Source organism: Homo sapiens, chromosome 2, assembly GCF_000001405.40.
Source record: "Homo sapiens chromosome 2, GRCh38.p14 Primary Assembly".
In the NCBI taxonomy this organism is placed as follows: domain Eukaryota; kingdom Metazoa; phylum Chordata; class Mammalia; order Primates; family Hominidae; genus Homo; species Homo sapiens.
In genome coordinates this window covers 148,685,573-148,706,159 of record NC_000002.12, presented here as the reverse complement: position 1 = coordinate 148,706,159, position 20,587 = coordinate 148,685,573, and the positions used below count along the sequence as shown (strand labels likewise).

General features: G+C 37.1%; 1 protein-coding gene across 2 annotated transcripts in view; it reads right to left on the bottom strand.

Annotated features, from left to right (window-relative positions):
* Positions 1–20,587, bottom strand: part of EPC2 (enhancer of polycomb 2) — a 142,819-nt gene that overhangs the window by 81,410 nt on the left and 40,822 nt on the right. For both annotated transcript variants that reach the window (NM_015630.4, XM_011510941.3), the window contains exon 2: positions 15,787–15,946. In NM_015630.4, the coding sequence (NP_056445.3) occupies positions 15,787–15,946 (160 nt within the window). The remainder of the gene's footprint in view (positions 1–15,786; positions 15,947–20,587) is intronic.

The window sequence follows — 20,587 nt, the reverse complement described above, 5'->3', positions numbered from 1 at the left end:
CATTTAAGGTCTTCTCTACACTGTTTATTCTAGTTAGCCATTCGTCTAATCATTTTTCAAGGTTTTTAGCTTCCTTGCGTTGGGTTCAAACATCTTCCTTTAGCTTGAGGAAGTTTGTTATTACCGACTTTCTGAAGCCTACTTCTGTCAATTTGTCAAAGTCATTCTCCGTCCAGCTTTGTTCCGTTGCTGGTGAGGAGCTGTGATCCTTTGGAGGAGAAGGGGCGCTCTGGTTTTTAGAATTTTCAGCTTTTCTGCTCTGGTTTCTCCCCATCTTTGTGGTTTTATCTACCTTTGGTCTTTGATGATGGTGACCTACAGATGAGGTTTTGGTGTGGATGTCCTTTTGGTTGATGTTGATGCTGTTCCTTTTTGTTTGTTAGTTTTCCTTCTAACAGTCAGGTCCCTCAGCTGCAGGTCTGTTGGAGTTTGCTGGAGGTCCACTCCAGACCGTTTGCTTGGGTATCACCAGCAGAGGCTGCAGAACAGCAAATATTGCAGAACAACAAATATTGCTGCCTAATCCTTCCTCTGGAAGCTTCATCTCAGGGGCACCCAGTTGTATGAGGTGTCAGTCGGCCCCTACTGGGAGGTGTCTCCAAGTTAGGCTGCACAGGGGTCAGGGACCCACTTGAGGAGGTGGTCTGTCCATTCTCAGAGCTCAAACACCGTGCTGGGAGAGCCACTGCTCTCTTCAGAGCTCAGTTGGAAATGCAGAAATCACCCATCTTCTGCATCAATCACGCTGGGAGGTGCAGACCAGAGCTGTTCCTATTCAGCCATCTTGGAACCGTGAATTTTATATTCTAAAACTTATCATCACTCAACTACTGTTAGTAGGGAAAGTAAGAGTTTTTTTTTTAAAATGATAACTGTGCAGTAGTAAATACATAAAACATAACATCTTACTTAAGAGTTAGAATCTATAGACAGCCCTAAGGCCAGATGTACTGTTTGGCCAGTTCATATAAATTAGGTGCTATCAAGGAATTATTATTAATTTGGTTATAATGGTACTGTGGTTATGCCGGGAAAAAGACACAAGTCCTTTTCTTTGAAAGATAAACAATGAAATATTTATGGGTGAAATAGTGTCTGGGATTTGTTTTAAAATATATTAACACAAAAAGTGTGAGGAATAAATAAAATATGAAGCTGATGGTTTGCTGACAGATACATTGGGTTCCCCGTACTATTCATTCCTTTGCCTTAAAAATAAAAACACTCAAACAAAATTAGAAAAAAAAAAAAGAAAAAGAAAAAGAAAAAAGATACACATTAAAAATCCCTAATGTCACCAGGACATAGCTGGGAGCCTATGGCCCAGGTTAGAAGTGTAAGGCTTTCCGTGGCCACAATATGCAAAGCTAATTTGCCTCCAACTCTGGGCTAAGTTATATCCCTGTTGTTGTTCCAGTTCCTGAAAGGGACAAAAGAACACCACTTACAAAGAAAGTTGGGAATATAGGGTAAGGATTCAGAGGCTAAATAAGTAAAAATGTTGAGTTCTTTATCAATTAGTTTGGGGACATGCCACTTGATACTCACTGTGACTCATCAAGAACAGGGATTCTCAAATCTGAGTATATACCTACAATGCATGTTTTTCCTTTTTCATTTTTTATTGTGTTGAAATACATATAGCATAAAAGTACCCTCAACTGTTTATAAGTGTGCAGTTCAGTGGTATTAAATACATTCATAATGTTGCATAATCACCACTATCTGTCTCCCTAATGCTTTTCATCTTGTAAAACTAAAACTCTGTACCTATTAAACAATAACTCCCCATTTCTCCCTCTCCCCAGTCCCTAGCAACCACCATTCTACTGTCTGTCTCTATGATTCTGATTACTCTAAGTACCTCAGATAATGACTTATTTCACTTGGCCAATGTCTCAGGTTTCATCCATATTGTAACCATGTGTCACTGCCTTCCTTTTTAAGGCTCAATAATATTCATTCTAAGTACACGCCACATTTTGCTTACCCATTCATCCAGTGATGAATACCTGTATTAATTCCATGTTTTAGCTTTTGTGAATAATGCTGCTATGAACATGGGTACACAAATATCTCTTTGAGACCTTCATTTGTCTGAGTATATACACAGAAATGGAATTGCTGGACCACATGGTAAGTCTATCTTCAATTTTCTGAGGGACGATCATACTGTTTTCCACAGTGGCTACACCATTTTACATTCCCAACAGTCCACAAGAGTTCCAATTCACCACATCCTTGCTAACACTTGTTATTTTCTGTTTTTGATAGTAGCCATTCTAAAGGGTATGAGGTGGTATAATGCATGTTTTTAAAACTGATTTTTTAATGGATTCAGTGGCTCATACCTGTAATCCCAACACTTTGGGGGTCCAAGGCAGGAGGACTGCTTGAGCCAAGGTGTTTGAGACCAGCATGGGCAATAAAGTGAGATCCTGTGTCTAAAAGCATTAAAATAAAATTAGCCAGGCATAGTGGTGCACAGCTGTAGTCCCAGCTACTCAGGAGGTTGAGGTGGGAGAAGTGCTAGAGCCTGGGAGGTCAAAGCTGCAGTGAACCATGATCACACCACTGTACTCCAGCCTGAGCAACACAGTGAGACCCTGTCTCAAATACTACTACTAACAAAAGAACAAAAACCCTCATTTTTCAGGCCTCACTCCCAAAGAAAAGGATCCTGAAACGTTTTTTGTTTCCTTTAGAACAAAAAAAAACCAAACAGGTGATTCTGATACAATATAACTAAAAACAGGCTTTAAAAACTGACTTCACCATCCCAAGGAGTATCAAGGTGACTAAAGCTCCCCAGAACATACTTTTTAAAAAAAAACTGCACTATAATCTAATAAACTGACAGAAATGGAAGAAAACATGTAGCTTAGGAAAAAATAGGACAGAAGCTTTCCTCTGAGTAAGGATTAATGGCTAATAATTAAAACTTAAGGATGCATTGAAGGTTCACAATTAACAGACTACCAAAAATACTCTAAAATGGACAACAAGGAAAAAAAATACCAAACACATTTTATTCATTTTGAGATAATGCATGGCTGCCTTAAGATGAACAAATAAAATCCTGTATTTTAAGTTCCTTAAAAACAGACTGTGTTTAACACATGTATCACCCATAGTGCTCTGCACCATTAAATGCTTAATATCAGGAAGTATGATACAGTGGGAAGACTTCAAGCAGTCAAAGGACTTAGGGCAGAGGTGTCCAATCTTTTGGCTTCCCTGTGCCACACTGGAAGAAGAAGAATTGTCTTGGGCCACCAATAAAATACACTAATGATAGCCTGATGAGCTTAAAGAAAAAATGGCAAAAAAAAAAAATCTCATAGTGTTTTAAGAAAGTTTACGAATTGGGTTGGACTGCATTCAAAGCTGTCCTGGGCCACAAATTAAACAAGCCTGACTTAGGGCTTCATCTCATTGCTTTCATTCAACAGGTGTGGTCCCTTATACAAGTCATTTAATGTCCTTGCCTCTTGTTACCAATTTCTGAAATCACAGTATTGAGTCATCTTCTATATAACAGTTCTCACTGCAGGAGACTAGGCTGGTTAAAAATCCACTTCTGGGTATATGCCCAAAAGAAACAATAGTGAAGAATTTGTTAGAAGTTCAGATTCCTGGTGCCCAATTCCAGAGATGCTCTTTCATTAGCCCTCAGAGCTGGGGAAGCCCTGCAGAACCTCTTAATTCTGGGTTTGAGAATCACAGCAGGGGTTACACTGAACAATTTCTAAGGTTTATACTGGCTTTGAAATTCCTCTAATCTATGAATATTTGTGAGGGAAAATGAAACAGAGAGAGAAAAAGGCAAATTTTCATCATCTCCTAATCCCCAGAAAAAGCTATTTTTACATTAGGTAAATTTAACAACACAAGATTTTGATTTTCTGTTTTGTTGCTGAAATGACAAATAAAGCTTACCAAAACATAAAATCCTTTTTACAGCTTTCAAGTTTCTAAAATGATAAGAAATCAGTTTACAAAAACAAGCCACCTGACTTCTGAAAAGATCAGTAACACTGAATAATCTCTAAGAAAAAAAAAAGAAGACAAATGACTAATGTCAAAAATGAAATAGTGGTCATCACTACTCATCCAACAGACATTAAAACAATAATAAAAGTATATTATGATAAGCACAGAACAACTATATGGCCATAAATTGACAACTTACAGAAAATGGACAAAAACACAAACTACTAAAACTGACTAAAGAAGAAACAGAAAATCTATATAGATCTATAATAAGTAGAGTCAAATCAAAAAACCTCCCAAAAAACACCAGTCCCAGATGAGTTCACTGATAAATTCTACCAAACATTTAGGAAAGAAATTTTATCAATCTCTCTCATCACTCCCAGAAAACAGAAGCAGAGAAAACACTTCCTAACTCATTCTATGAGGTCAGCATCACCCCAATCCTAAAGCAGAAAAAGATATTACAAGAAAGGAAAATGACAGACGAATAGCTCTCATGAACATACATGCAAAAATTCTCAACAAAGTATTATTATAGCAAGCTGAATCCAACATATAAAAATTATACACCAAGACCAAGTGGGATTTGTTCAGCATGCTAAATCAATTAATTTAATCCACTTCATCGACTAAAGAAGAAAAATCACATGAGCATATCAATAGATGTAGAAAAAGCATTTGACAAAATCTAACCCTCTTTCATGATAAAACTCTCAGCAAACTAAGAATAGAGGAGAATTTCTTCAACTTGATAAAGAACTTTTACAGAAAACCTACAGTTAATATCACAAGTGTAAGAAACCAGACGCTTTCCTACTAAGATCAAGAACAAGGCAAGGATGTTCCTTCTCACCACTTCTATGCAACATCATCCTGGAAGTCCTGGCTAATGCAATAAGACAAGAAAAGGAAATAAAAAGTATACAGATTAGGACGAAATGAAACTGTCTTTGCTTACAGATGACAAGACTGTCTATGTAGAAAATTCCAAAGAATTGACTAAAAATATCCTGGAACTAATTAGAGCATAGTAAGTCTGTAGCATACAAAGTTAATATACAAAAGTCAGTTGCTTTCCTACAGACCAAAAATGAACACTCGGTATTTGAAATTAAGGAACAACACCATTTACATTAGAACAACAACAAAAAAAGACACTTAAGTATCAATCTAACAAAACATGCAGAGGATCTATATGAGGAAAATCGCAAAAGTCTGATGAAAGAAATAAAAAAATGCAGAGATATTCCATGTTCATGGACAGGAAGACACTATTATGTCAATTCTTCTCAAATGTGATACAGATTCAACAACGTCTCAGTAAAAATCCCAGTAAGTTATTTTGTTACAATGATGAATAGATTCTAGTTCATATAGAAAGACAAGTGCCCCCAAAGAGCCAATACAAGAGTAAAGAAGAAAAAAGGCAGAGGACTTAGGTTCAGAGCAACTGGTGCTAAAAAAAAAAAAAAAGTAAAAAGGGCAGAGGACTGACATTACTTGACTCCAAGACTTACTCTGAAGCTATTATAAACAAAACAGCAAGAATTTGACAAAAGAGTAAACAAGTAGATCAATGGAACAGAATAGAGCCCAGATACAGATCCATACAAATATAGTTTTTGACAAAAGATCTTTGACAAAGGAGCAAAGGCAATTCAATGCGGGGCGGGGGGGAGGGGGGGAGTCTTTCCAACAACGAGTGCTAGAACGGTGACATCCCATATGAAAAAAAATGAATCTAGATATAGAACTTATACCCTTCACAAAAATTAACTCAAAATGGATCACAGATCTACATATAAAATGCAGTCTACAAAACTTTTAGAAAATAACACTGGAGAAAATCTCAGGGACCTTGGGTTTGATGATGAGCTTTTAGAAATAATACCAAACACATAATTCATGAAAGTAAAAAAATTGTTAAGCTGGACTTCATTAAAATTAAAAACTTTCACTCTGTGAAAGACACTGTTAGTGAATGAAAAGACAAGGCACAGAGAGGAAGAAGATATGCAAAATACATATCTCTACAGGACACGTATCTAAAATATATAAAGAACACTTAAAACTCAACAATAAAACAAGCAATCCAATAAAGAAATGGGCAAAAGATCTGAACAGACACCACACTAAAGAAGATATATAAATAATGTCAATCAAACAAAAAGGTGATCAACATCTTATGTTATCAGGGAACGGCAAATTACAACAGTGACATACCATCTCACACCTAGTAAAATGGCTAAAATCCAAAAACTGACCCAAAACCAAACGATGATAAGGATGCGGGGCAATAGAAACTTTCATTCACTGTCAGTGGGAATGCAAAATGGTACAGCCACTTTGGCATGCAGTTTGGCAGCTTCTTATAAAACTAAACATGTTTACAGCAATTGCACTCCTAAGTATATACCCAATTGAGCTGAAAACTCACAGCCACACAAAAACCTACATACAAATGTTTAGAGCAGTTTTATTTATAGCTGTGAAACTGGAAGCAATCAAGATGTCTTTTAATAGGTGAATGGATAAACTGTGATATAGCCATATAATAAAACATTATTCAATGATAAAAAGAAATGAGCTATCAAGCAACAAAAAGACATGAGAGAATCTGAAAAGGCTATGTATTATATAATTCCAACTATTTGACATTCTGGGAAAGGCAAAACTAAAGAGACAACAAAAAGATCAGTGGTTGCCTGGGATTTGGAAGAATGTACCAGCGAAGTTCAGGGAGTTTTTAGAGTGATGAAACTATTCTGTAGGATACTGTAATCATGGATCCATGTTACGCATTTTTCAAAATCCATAAAACTGTACAATACAAAGAGCAAACTGTAACTATGAACTTTAATAACATCATTAGCTGTAAGAAATGTACTGACTAATACAAGATACTAATAGTAGGAGAAAGTGTGTAGGGGTAGCACATGAAAATTTTGTTATTGGCTTTTTTGTAAATCTAAAATCGTGTTTTAAAATATAGTTTATTTGTTTTTTAAAAAGCCTAAAATCTTATTTTTCCTTGACATACAAATTCATATTTCACTAATTCAAATTACTAGTTTACTAATAATCTGGGTCTAAAACTTCTCAATAATTAAGGTAGAAACAAAAACCTTCATTACTGGCCCTCTTATAGATCCCTGCTGACTACGGAAGGATATAAAACTAATTCCTTGTAATAATTTACAGCTTCCAAAGACTATTAAAATTATTTGATTACAATGGAAAAATGCTTACTCTATGACAGTCAGTGAAAAAGCGAAAGCCACAAACACATACACACATACACAGAGTATAATGCTTTTTTTTTAAAAAAAAAAAAGGGAAGAAAATACAACTTTTATCTGGGTTAATTATCTTGGAGAGACAGAATTATTATTTTTTTCCACAATTAACATTTTACTTTTCATTATAATCAGAACATGAAAATCAGCTTCTCAAAAAAAAAAAAAAAAAAGCTTACTTTCTTAGTTTCTATCAGAGAAACAGGAGATTTTTTTTTTTTTTTTTTTTTTTTTGAGATGGAGTCTCGCTGTCACCCAGGCTGGAGTGCAATGGCACGATCTCGGCTCACTGAAACCTCCACCTCCCAGGTTCAAGCAATTCTTCTGCCTCAGCCTCCGGAGTAGCTGGGATTACAGGCGTGCACCACCACACCGGGCTAATTTTTGTATTTTTAGTAGAGATAGGGTTTCACCATCTTGGCCAGGCTGGTCTTGAACTCCTGACCTCGTGATCCACCCGCCTCAGCCTCCCAAAGTGCTGGGATTACAGGCACGAGCCACTGCGCCCAGCCAAAACAGGAGATTCTTAAGCCAGTAATGAGAAAACTTTTTCAAACAAGGTCCAATTTTAGAGGGGGCGGTGGGGCAGGGAGGTGGCTTTACTGAACTCCATGGAGGGAAGATTGCGTATTTACAACAACTTCAGTTTCTTAATAAGAACAATGTTAGTGAGGAAACAATTCTTTTAATACTAAATCATCTCATTTAAAAAGCAACATCATCATCATAGAGGCTGCCTTTTCATTCTCTCATTCTTTACATCACTTGCTATCTACTTTAGCCTCCTCTAAAACCATGAAAGGTACAGTAACCTTTTTTTTTTTGTTTGTTAACATATAGAGAAAATAAAGCCCACTTGACTGAGGTCCTACGTGGTCCAATTTCATTGAAAGCAAATCTTATTTTTTGTCAGGCACAGTGCTTAGTTGGAGGCTTAGAAATCAATAACTGCCACACACCCTTTCCCAATTTGGGCCTCTCTTTATTCAAATTGTGGAATTATTTTCAAAGATAGGTTGGACTTGCAGCAAACCAGTATACCCAAAGGCACTAGAATGGGTTCTCTAGCTCTGCTGAGTTAATCCCTAAAACCCAAAGGTCCTGGCTGACCCTTTTATTTTGTGTTCTTCTAGTGTATGCGTGCACACATGCATGCATGTGTTTGAATGGAAGCACTTAAGGATCAGCTTGTATTGCTGCCCTAGTGGTTCTCCCTCTAATGTCTTTGATTTATAAAACTCAAAAGGCCCTTTTAAAAGTTGAATCTTAGGCTTTCCCAAAAGCTAAAATTCACTCCCTTTCAGTAGAGCTCCTCACTACTCTAGGCAATACAGTAAAATATGAAGTGTGTGCTTGTATTACTCTCATGGTTCCCTTTTCTTCAAGTTTCTCCCTTTGGCACCTCTTCTCTGACCCATTCATAGTGCTCTTCCATTCATTAATCTTCTGCCAGGCCAAATGAGAACAGTGCATCATCACAGTTATACACGTCTGCCTTTTCTATCAGCAAGCAACCTGCCTCTACCCTGCAATTTATCCATTGAAAAAAAAAAAAGAATCCATTACTGATTCTATTACCAACCCCCTTTGAATGGTAATGAATTTCTACGTTTAAAGTGTAGAAATATTTGCAACTTGTAATGATGAACCATGACTAAGAGGCAGTATAAAACAGTTAAACAGGCACACTCTGGAGCCAGATGGCCTGGATTAGAATTCTGACTCTACTACTTGCTAGCTGCATCACCCTGGGCTCTTTAATCTTAGGTTTAAAATGGGAGAAATACATTATCTGTCCAGAAGGCTCCTTTGAGCAATAATTGGCTTAGCATACAAAAAATGTATGCAAACCATAACAGGATGTAAATACAGAGGTCAGTAAATGTTATTTTACTATCTTTTACCCATAACTGTGGAAGGAAAAGTTTAGACTTCTTTAAAATTTTCAAGAAATAAACATATGAGAAAATATTTTTGTAGGTAGACAGCCCATGGAATTATGTTACTGAGTAAGATGAGAAGGCAAATTTCCTTTAGTCTCTTAAGGTAGGGGAAACAAGATGCTGTAAGGTGCTCTCAGGGGAGTGTGGCATCATTGGAGAATCATTTATGGAGATATTAGTTGCTAGGTGAATATGCTGAAGGCCTATCTTTGGTAACTCCTCCTAACACAATCAGTTCTGCTGAGTTACCTCAGGGTATCTTCTTTGGGAGGCCCCATAGGAGGGTTCAAAATGCTTGAAGACCAAGAATCATGCACCCTTTATGACCAATACTGCTTTTATATTTTGTAATCACATCATGGCTAAAATATGTGCCACTATACATCAAATTTACCTTATTATAGTGTCTTTATTCTCTCCCTGATTTCTTTAACCATGGTCTTTAATTTATTGCATTGTATTTTACTCTAAGTCACTGCAAATGCCTTTTTTTCTTTTTTGAAAAGTGGACATAAATAAATGCACATAGCCTGAAGGGGCGTTCTCCTTTAAACTCAGGCTTCTCTTTCATTTATCTCAGACTACCCAATGATTAGTTTGCTTTTCACACAATGTCTGGCATTACCTTTTTTTTCTCCTGTAGTGACAAGGTCTCACTGTGTTGTCCAAACTAGTTTTCAACTTCTGGACTCAAGTGATCCTCCCACACTGGCCTCCCAAAGTGCTGGGATAACAGGTGTGAGCCACTGTGCCTGGCCTCCTTTCATATCTATTATCTTCTAGGTTTGGAGGCTTCTCCTCCTTCCTGGATTAGTACCTACCCAGATACAACTCTACCATTTCAGCCCATGTCCACACTCACAGCTTTGCCCAAGAATAGGACACGGTTGCAGCTAGTGCACAATCTGAGGAGAGAGGAATATCCTTAGAGCTAGCTGATCTGAATGTGGGTTGCCCTCAGGGGCTGGCCTTATTCCCTGTCCCTTCTAATCACCTGAAATTGAGATCCAGCTTCACCTGTAATGTGTTCTCCACAAATCTGACAAAATCTGCTTCTGTACCCATGGCATTGTTTTACCAGTCTTTATTTATTTGAATATGTGATGTCCTTTCACAGAATTTATGTCCAATTTCTTAATACACATCCAATAGTATTTTTTTTACAAGAAAATGATGTTCCTGGAATGCATCCTTTCTACCAATAAGTCTTACTGTATAAACAAAACAATGCTCTTCATTTGTTCTGAATCCTCCCCAACTCTTTCCAATCAAAATATGTTTGCCCTGAAAGAACAGGTCAATTATCATTTTTTGCATAATGCAGAGAATATCAAAAGACATTTCCAAGGATAATGAGACTGAAGTTGGATGTCAGGCCAGCATCTATTTTAACCATGCTGAAAAACCTAGTGGTATACACAGGTCCACTTTATGTTGGTAAGTGTAACTTTTTCTCTTTTCCAATGTAGACTTGACAACAGTCAGCTTTATCAGTCTGAGGAGTCAGCTTCAAGTTGTACAGAAGTGTACAGCAGTGTCCACACACAGGCATTTTGCTAGGGCTTAAAATCTTGGAAGCAGACACAAACGGTACATTTCAATTCCCTTTGAGTGCATTCCTCTCTCTGCCTGACAGATGACAAGTTATTACTCCACCTATCCTTTCTCCTGAACTCTTCTTTCAGTCAGGACCGTCTACTGTTCTATGTTTGTAAGACTAAGGGAATGAGATGGGGGAAGTAAACTTTCATTTCAAAATAAGAAAAGAGAGTCCTGCTACCAAGAACTATTTAACTGAGTTCAAAACTGGATACAAATTAACTTCAGAATACTTAAGAAACAATGTCAGGCTGGTGCGATGGCTCACGCCTGTAATCCCAACACTTTAGGAGGCCAAGGTGGGCAGATCACGGATCATGAGGCCAGGAGTCCAAGATAAGCCTGGCCAACATGGTGAAACCCTATCTCTACTAAAAATACAAAAATTAGCCGGGCGTGGTGGCACGCACCCGTGATCCCAGCTACTCTGGAGGCTGAGGCAGAGGAATTGCTTAAACCTGGTGGGGGCGGTGAGGAAGGTTGTGGTGAGCAGATATTGCACCACTGCACTCCAGCCTGGGCAACAGAGCAAGATTCCGTCACCAGGGTTTGGGCGGGGGGAGGAGAATGTTAAGTTCCTTCGTGTTCTACAATTCCAAGATATTTAGTATCAACTGTAAAATGTTATCATATTAAATAAAACAGGTAATAGGAGATCAAATAAAGATACTATTGAAATGTAAACAAAGTTGTTTCCTTAAAGAGAAAAGTTTGGGTACTGAATTTAATAAAATTATTGAACTCCAAGAGGAATGAAAATTATAACATTTGGGTTGAGGAACCCAAAGTAAATGTAACTTAATGAAAGTAGGTAGTGTTTTTTTCTGCATGTGGCACACAACTGAAGTGTTTTACTATCTTAGGTCATCAAAGACTTTGTGCCTTCAGGATGCTTCCCACCTGGTAAAGACAGCTCAATGTGTTATGATTCAATAAATTCTGCATAAAGCTGATTAAGGGTGACTATGAAGAACTGCTACTGAAAGGGATCAGAAGGAACAAGAATGTTTGTCTCACTTTCATAACAGATTGGAGTCCACTCCCAACTCCTTCTCGGCACTTTTTGGGCTAAATTAACAGTTGGTGAATAACAGAACTCACCTTTTAATTTCTAACACAGCGGGTTGCTCAATTTCACTGTATGCACTAATAATTTTAGCCTTATATTTGATTCTGTGTACAATTTTTAGTCCAACAAATACTGATGGCTCGAAAATGCCATGGAGTATATGCTTTTAATTTCATTAATTCTTTCACTCATTTATTTATTCAGCAAATATTTAACTGCACACCTAACCACATGCTATAAGTACTGTACTAGGCAGTGAAATTCAAAGAAAAAAAAGTCCCTTCTCTCAATAAACTCTGCCCAACAGAGGGCAAACAATCACAACTGAAGGTGGTCAGTGCCACAACGAAAGTACGCACTGGACACAGGAGGGGTGGGGCAAACAGTACCAAGAACAATGCTGAGAGACGTCAGAAAAAGGCTCCTAAAGGTAATCCTGGAGGCAAGTTGTATTTTAACAAGTTGAGAAGTAAAAGGCTATGTGAAGACATAACAAAATAAGGCATAACTCAAAGAGCTACAAAGATCTCATTATTAGTGTAGCTTGAAGCATGATGGGTTAAAGAAATTAGGAAGGAAAAGTGTACTGAGACTACACTCTGGGACTGTACTAGGTAATAAAAATTCTAAAGTACCATAAGATGGAGCCCCTGATCGCGAGGAGGTTACAGTGTAGAGGAAGAAAAAGACCCTCAAACAGTTCATTTCAATAAGGTTGGTGTCATAGTGGAAGAACACATAGGGAAACATGGCTAGACAGGCACAAAGGAGTGCCTTATACATCACACAAAGATGTTAAAAATTTTATCCTATAGTCAACAGACAGTCACTGAAAATTTTGAAATGGATAGTAATTACAACAGTGGCAGTGGATGATGGATTGGAAGGTATAAAGACTAGGGCAAGAAGGAGGCTTCTGCCAAAGCCCAGGCAAGTATGTGATGAACCTGAACAAGGCCATCCTACTGTGGCAACTTTACAATGTTTTTTTTCTAGCCAAGTGAATGGGGATTCTCTCTAATCTATCATTAAAAGAAGAAAAGGAAAAATCCAGAGTGAAATTTTCTGAAACTCCTTAAAGGCTTAGCAAAAAGTTACATAAAAAAAATTTTTTTTAACCTTCCTTGGAAAAAATCAGTAATGAGTTTAAAATTTAGTACAGATAATCTTAAGTCCAATAAGCAAATTGTGAAATATCAAACTGATGGAAAATGGTATATGCATTTTAAATGACTACATATAAAAATCTGAGAAACTTAAAATATGACTAGAAAGGCAGAATAAATATCATATGTGCAGTAAGATACTGTATAGTATGCAGTATATGCTGACAAGCTAAAAGAAAAAATGAAAGGTAAAATAATTTCTATTATTTTTATTGTTTTTTACAATAATAGAATAAAATGAAATGAAAAAAACCAACACAAGAATAATGTTTATTGTATTCGATGGGCCTGACCCACATGAGTTACACCCGATTTTTAGTTCTTGGTTTCCTAGAATGGTTTTTACAAATGGTCTTCCTGCCTAACTGCAATATTATCAAAATACAAAATAATTGATACTTTGGCTTAAGAGAGATCCTTAAAATTTCTATTATGAATAGTTATCTCCTTCCTGACTGATAGAAGGTAAAGGCAAATTCAAAAAGCTAATAGGACTCAAAGTCAAAGAACACAGGAGAAAAAAATATACATAAATAATTTTCGCATGTGTGTTTCTCTAGACTATTTCAGAGAAAAGAAATCTGTGGAAAATGGCTGTACCACCAAAAGACTTTTTAAAGCCATTTTAAAACAATTCAGTCGACAAACACATCATTTATTGAGCATCTATAAACCAAGCACTTTACTCTGAAAACACAAAAGAAAATAAAATATATAGTTCCTGCCCTCAAGGAGCTCACAGTCTAAAAGGAGAGAAAGAATGGTTACAAATAATTGCAATAAAGTATGGTGAGTCCTCTAACAGAAGTATGTAAAAGATACTACGATAAGCAAAGAAGACAGGTAGAGTGAGAAAAGTCAAGGTGGCTTTCATAAGGGAGTTAAGTCTTTAATGAGCTATAGGAAGGGAAAGAAGACTTCAATAGCACATCCAAGGAAATGTTAAATATGAAAGAAGGTGAATGAGGGTAATTTTCGTAGTCCCTATGGTACACAGAGTGAAGGGAAGAGCAAAAATAAATGACGTTAAAGGAGAAAGCGGGAACAAATTACAAAGAACCTAATATTCATACTAGAGAATATGACTATTATTGAATTCTATCAAATCTAAACTGCCATCAATTAAAAGACACAACATTACTATATATACCATAAGAAAGAAAAAAGCTTTATGCTTGTGTGTTAATATTAGTATAGAATGCTACTGAATAAAGATACATTACCAAAGGGCTATGCCCTCAGTGTAAGATTAAAGAAATAAATTAGCCATGCAGAAAGGGAAAGCAAAGAATTTTGTATTTCTCAACTTGCCCTTAGGTAGAAAGGAGAAGCAAAAAATCTTCCTGAGAACTGAACCTTGAGCAGATCTGCAGCCTAAATTAAAGCTAATACTGTGGTCCAAAAACAAATGAACAAAACAAACAAGCAAAAACTTTAACGTGGTCTCCGGTTGGTAGTGTCCCCAAATGCCTGGCAGAAACAAATGAAAATTCTCTTTAGAAGAACAAGACTTCAATCCTGAACAACAGCAATTTAAGATGCAATTTCACTGCAAAGATGAAAACAGTGCATCTCAGAATCAATGAAAAGCAGTCAATCTTATAGTCAGTCTTAAAGCTGGTGATGTTTCAGAATCACACAGGGAACTCTTTAAAAATACAAATCACCAGACTTCACACCCAGAGATTCTCATACAGGTAGGTTGTCAGACAGGTGGATACTTCAGCTAGGCCGGATGTTGAGCCTTGGGATCTCTATTTTAACAAGCTATCCAACATTTCTTTTTTACACACCTGACAAGATAACAAGACACTAGCATCTGTCTGTGGAATCAGCTGAAAAATCCTACTCTAGAAGTTCTTTTGGAGAGAAGCTAGATTAGAAGAGTATAGGGACAGGAGATACAGGACAGTAAATATAACAGGAGATTGTTAAAAGTCTTCACGCTAGAGGTGGTGATCATTTAAATACTAACAGTGGGAGAAAAGTAAGAGTATTAAGGAGGCAGAACTACACAGAATTCTTTAATAAAAACTATATGAAAGTAAAGGCATTAGATTTGATTCTGAAAAATTTCAGAAGACTACTCCTGGGCATTAGGGCCACTGGACCTTTAAAAGTAAATCTCAGGTGGGCGCGGTAGCTCACACCTGTAATCCCAGCACTCTGGGAGGCCGAGGTGGGTGGATCAACTGAGGTCAGGAGTTTGAGACCGGCCTGGCCAACAAGACGAAATCCCATCTCTACTAAAAATACAAACATCAGCTGGGTGTGGTGGCACACGCCTGTAATCCCAACTACTCAGTAGGCTGAAGCAGGAGAATCACTTAAACCCAGAAGGCAGAGGTTGCAGTGAGCCAAGATCATGCCACTGCACTCCAGCCTGGGTAACAGAGAGACTCTGTCTCAAAGAAAAAAAAAAAGGAAATCTCATTTGGGTATAGTAATCCACCACCTTTTAGCTATGTAATAAAGTATAAGTGCTATACAAAATCCTATACTACATAAATATCAAATGTTCCAAATGTTACTTAAAACTCAAAATGATTTCCAAATTCAGATGTAAGCACAGAGGGATTTTATTCTTTAATGTTTAACATATCTATTAATCAGTGTGTATGAATTAAAAAATCAGAATTTCTTTAGACAAAAGAAAAGATTTCCACTGGTTGATAAATTTAAAGTACAAACAGAAAACAATGAATTAACAAACTTACGCTGAATATGAATGAACTGTTTTGGCTGTTTAAACTCTCCTTTGTACAAGCGATTGTAATAGTTGACGTTGCTCTCTGCCTCAGGAACAGGAATGACCATACTCTCTTTTTTTTCTCTAAACACTTGCTGTGCTGAAATTGCTCGCTGTAAATGATGTTCCTGGAAAATGTAAAGTAGGCAACATAAGTTGTTTTAGTAATATTAATCAATGCATAATTTTATATAAAAGTTACTTTGTTTAATAATCACAAAGTGCTTTAAGAATCAATTATAAATAGTTCCTTTGCCAAAGACCTACAGTTACATTGTCATCATTCTCTCTTAATACTCGTGGCTCATACTGATAACACCTTAGATTATTACAATTTTTGTAAGTAGAATTTTTTAAACAAAATTAAATATATACTCAGAAACTAGAATATAAAATTTCAATTACAAAAAATTAATCTGTTTGCTAGATTAATTGAGGTGTTTGTCACCACTACCAGATGAAAGAAAAATTCCAAATTACAGGAAATAAATTTGTATCACAGATTTTAAGTATCTTCTGCATTTATTACTTCAAACTTTAACAGTACAAAATTCTGAATATTTCAAAGAAAGATAAAATTATGTTCAACAAGTTTTATTACTACCAGGGCAGAAAATATTTTTAAATAAAGGTTAAATGAACAGTTCCTATAACATATATCCAGTTTCTAATCACTTCATTACTTCCACAACTTACTGAAATAGCCTCCTAAATAGAATTTTCCCTCCTTCCTCCCTTCCCCCACAATGGCCCATTCCCAATAAAACAGTTTTACCTTTTGGAAGGTAAATCGTGTCATGCCACCCACCCCATAAAGGATTTCTGATCTCCATCCTATTCAGAGTAAAGGTTAAAAATCACTCAATGGCTGGGTGGTGGCTCATGCCTGTAATCCCAGCACTTTGGGAGGCCAAGATGGGCGGATCAAAAGGTCAGGAGATCGAAACCATCCTGGCTAACACAGTGAAACCCCGACTCTACTAAAAATACAAAAAAAATTAGCCGGGCGTAGTGGCGGGTGCCTCTAGTCCCAGCTACTCAGGAGGCTGAGGCAGGAGAATGGCGTGAACCCAGGAGGCAGAGGTTACAGTGAGCCGAGATCCGCCACTGGACTCCAGCCTGGGCGACACAGCGAGACTCCGTCTCAAAAAAAAAAAAAATTTCACTCAATGACCTACAAGACTCTGCATCTCTCTTATCTCATTTCCAACCTCTCTCCTCTCCAATCTTTAATTCTAGCCACACTGATGTTGCTGTTTCTATATATCCAAACGGTCTGCTTTCAAAATTGCTTCCAGTCTTATCTTAGCAGAGAGGCCTTCCGTGACTTTTTTTTCTAATCTAAAAGAGTACTCCTCCTCTAGCATTCCTTCCCTGTTTTACTTTCCTCCATACCTTTCCTGTTTTACTTTCCTCCATACCACTTTGCAACATCATAGTAAAGATCTCATTTGTTTACTGCCCCTCTCCCCCTAGCATAAAGTAAGTTCCAAGGAGGCAATGATTTTTGCTTGTTTTGTTAATTTCTTATCCCTAATGCCTAGTACAATGGCCAAAATATAGAAGCTGCTTAACATACATTAACTGAATGAATAAATGAAATCTTTACTGGATTCCTACTATATGTCAAGCTATGCAAAATGCATATAAAGAAACTGAGGCATAAGGATGTTTTGTAAGTTGTTGAGGTCAAACAGTTCTAAGTAACAAAACAGAAACACAATTCAGGATATACATATATATGCAAAGCCAAAATTCTTTTTTTAAAATTTTATTATTATTATACTTTAAGTTTTAGGGCACATGTGTACAATGTGCAGGTTTGTTACATATGTATACATGTGCCATGTTGGTGTGCTGCACCCATTAACTCATCATTTAGCATTAGGTATATCTCCTAATGCTATCCGTCCCCCCTCCCCCCATCCCACAACAGGCCCTGGTGTGTGTGATGTTCCCCTTCCTGTGTCCATGTGTTCTCACTGTTCAATTCCCACCTATGAGTGAGCACATGTGGTGTTTGATTTTTTGCCCTTGCAATAGTTTGCTGAGAATGATGGTTTCCAGCTTCATCCATGTCCCTACAAAGGACATGAGCTCATCATTTTTTATGGCTGCATAGTATTCCATGGTGCATATGTGCCACATTTTCTTAATCCAGTCTATCATTGTTGGACATTTGGGTTGGTTCCAAGTCTTGCAAAGCCAAAATTCTTAATCCTAAGATATTACACCATTTTTTTGGAAATTAGAAGGTCTTAATTTCATTCAAGCCTTTAGGGTATGTGAAATGTTATTATACAAAAGGAATTAGTGCAGTGATCCAAAAAGAAAAGTTTCGTTCAGCAAGACATAAATAAAATTAAACTGAAGGTCCATTCTATGCAAAATACACAGTAGATTAGTTTGATTATAACTAGTACTTTAAAAGGAAGGTAAGATGATAGAGGGGGATAGATACCAAATAATAAGAAAATAATTAATTTCATGATCTTCTGCCAGTAATTACCGTTAAAGAAAGCAGAGAGACAGAGACATAAAAACAAACGGGAAAGAAAAGAAATACAATATGAGGAAGTGGGCAAACAAGCTTCTATGCCATAGACAAGTGAACAGTAAGCCAGGGCAGCTATTGGGACTCCCACAAGCAGCATCGTTTTGTCAGATCCAATCAAGTCATACCTGCTTTTCCCCAAATAATCATCTATACTACATCATAGTCAGCATCTCTTTGGCATTTTGTCAGAATAAGTTAAATCAAGAAAGCATATTTAAGAAAAATGCCATGAAATTTGGCTAAGGAACAGAAGTCTAGGAATAGCTAAGTAAACTTAAAAAGCAGCAGAAAATGTGGCATGAGAACGGAGACCTGCCTACTAGAAATCACAAAATATTATAAAGCCACATTTTCTGCTCCTTTTTAAGCTCACTAAGTGCCACTCTAGTGAACACACAAATAATAACGAAGCAAAACAGCCTTATTGGTGAGACAGAGAAAGTTTCAGTGGTCTGGTCAGTGGTCAATGTCAAACCAGCCACAACATTCCCGTAAGCCAAAGCCTAATCCAGGGCAAGGCATTTCAATTCTATGAAGGCTGAGAGAGGTGAAAAAGCTACAGGAAAAAAGTTAGAAGATGGCAGAGATTGGCTCATGAGGTTGAAGGCAAAAATCCATCTCCATAACATAAAAGCGCAAGGTGAGGCAGCAAGTGCTGATGGAGAAACATCACAAGTCATCTAGAAGATCTAGTTAAGATCACTGATGAAGGTGGCTACACTGAATAATAGATTTTCAATGTAGATGAAATAGCCTTCTACTGGTAGAAGATGCCATCTAGGACTTTTACAGCTAGAGAGGAAACGTCAACGCCTGGTTTCAAAGCTTCAAAGAACAGACTGATTCTCTTGTTAGGGGCTAATCAGCTGGTAATGTTAATTGTAGTCAATGCTCATTTACCATTCCAAAAATCCTAAGGCCCTCAAGAATACGCTAAATCTACTCTGCCTGTGCTCTACAGGTTTAATAAATATTCTAAGCTAACTGTTGAGGGCTACTGCTCAGGGAAAAAAAAATTAGTTTAAAATACAACTACCCAACAATGCATATGGTCACCCAAGAAGTCTGATGGCGATGAACAAGGAGATTAATGCTATTTTCATGCCTGCTAAGACAACATTCATTCTGCAGTCCATGGATTAAAAGTAATTTTGACTTTCAAGTTTTTATTTAAGAAATCCATTTTGTAAGGCAATAGCTGCCATAAATTCCTCTGATGGATCTGAGCAAAGTAAACTGAAAACCTTCTGAAAAGGATTCACTATTGTAGATGTCATTAAGAACATTCATGATTCATAGAAAGAGGTCAAAATGCCCACATTAACAGGAGTTTGAAAGAAGGGAATTCTAATCCTCATGGATGACTTTGAGGAGTTCAAGACTTCAGTAAAGGAAGTAACTGAAGATGTAGTGGAAATGGCAAGAAAACTAGAATTAGAAGTGGAGCCTGTTCAGAATATTATGTGACCAAATTGTGGCAATTTCATAAAACTTGAACAGATGAGGAGTTGTTTCTTATGGATGAGCAAGGAAGTGGTTTCTTGAGATGGAATTTACTGCAGGTGAAGATGTTGTGAACATTGCTGAACTGACAACAAAGGATTTGGAACATTATACAAAGTTGATAAGCAGGAGCAGGGTTTGAGAATGCAATTTTGAAAAAAGTTCTACTGTGAGTAAAATGTTATCAAACAGCATCACATGCTACAACAAATTCTTTCATGAGTCAACTGATGCAGCAAACTTCACTATTGTCTTATTATAAGAAACTTCCACAGCCACCTAACCTTTAGCAAACATTACCCTGATCAGTCTAGCCATTAACATCAAGGCAAGACCCTCCAACAGTAAAAAGATTGTGAATAACCGAAAGCTCAGATGACCGTTAGCAACCATTTTTTAGCAATAGGGCATTTTAAAATTAAGGAATGGATATATTTTAGACACAGTGCTAGTGCATACGTAATAGACCACAGTATAGTATAAGCATAACTTTTATTTTTTTATTTTTATTTTTTGAGATGGAATCTCACTCTGTCGCCCAGGCTAGAGTGCAGTGGCGCAATCTTGGCTCACTGCAGGCTCTGCCCCCCGAAGCGGAGCTCACGCCATTCTCCTGCCTTAGCCTCCTGAGTAGCTGGGACTACAGGCTCCCGCCACCACACCCGGCTAATTTTTTTGTATTTTTAGTAGAGACGGTGTTTCACCGTGT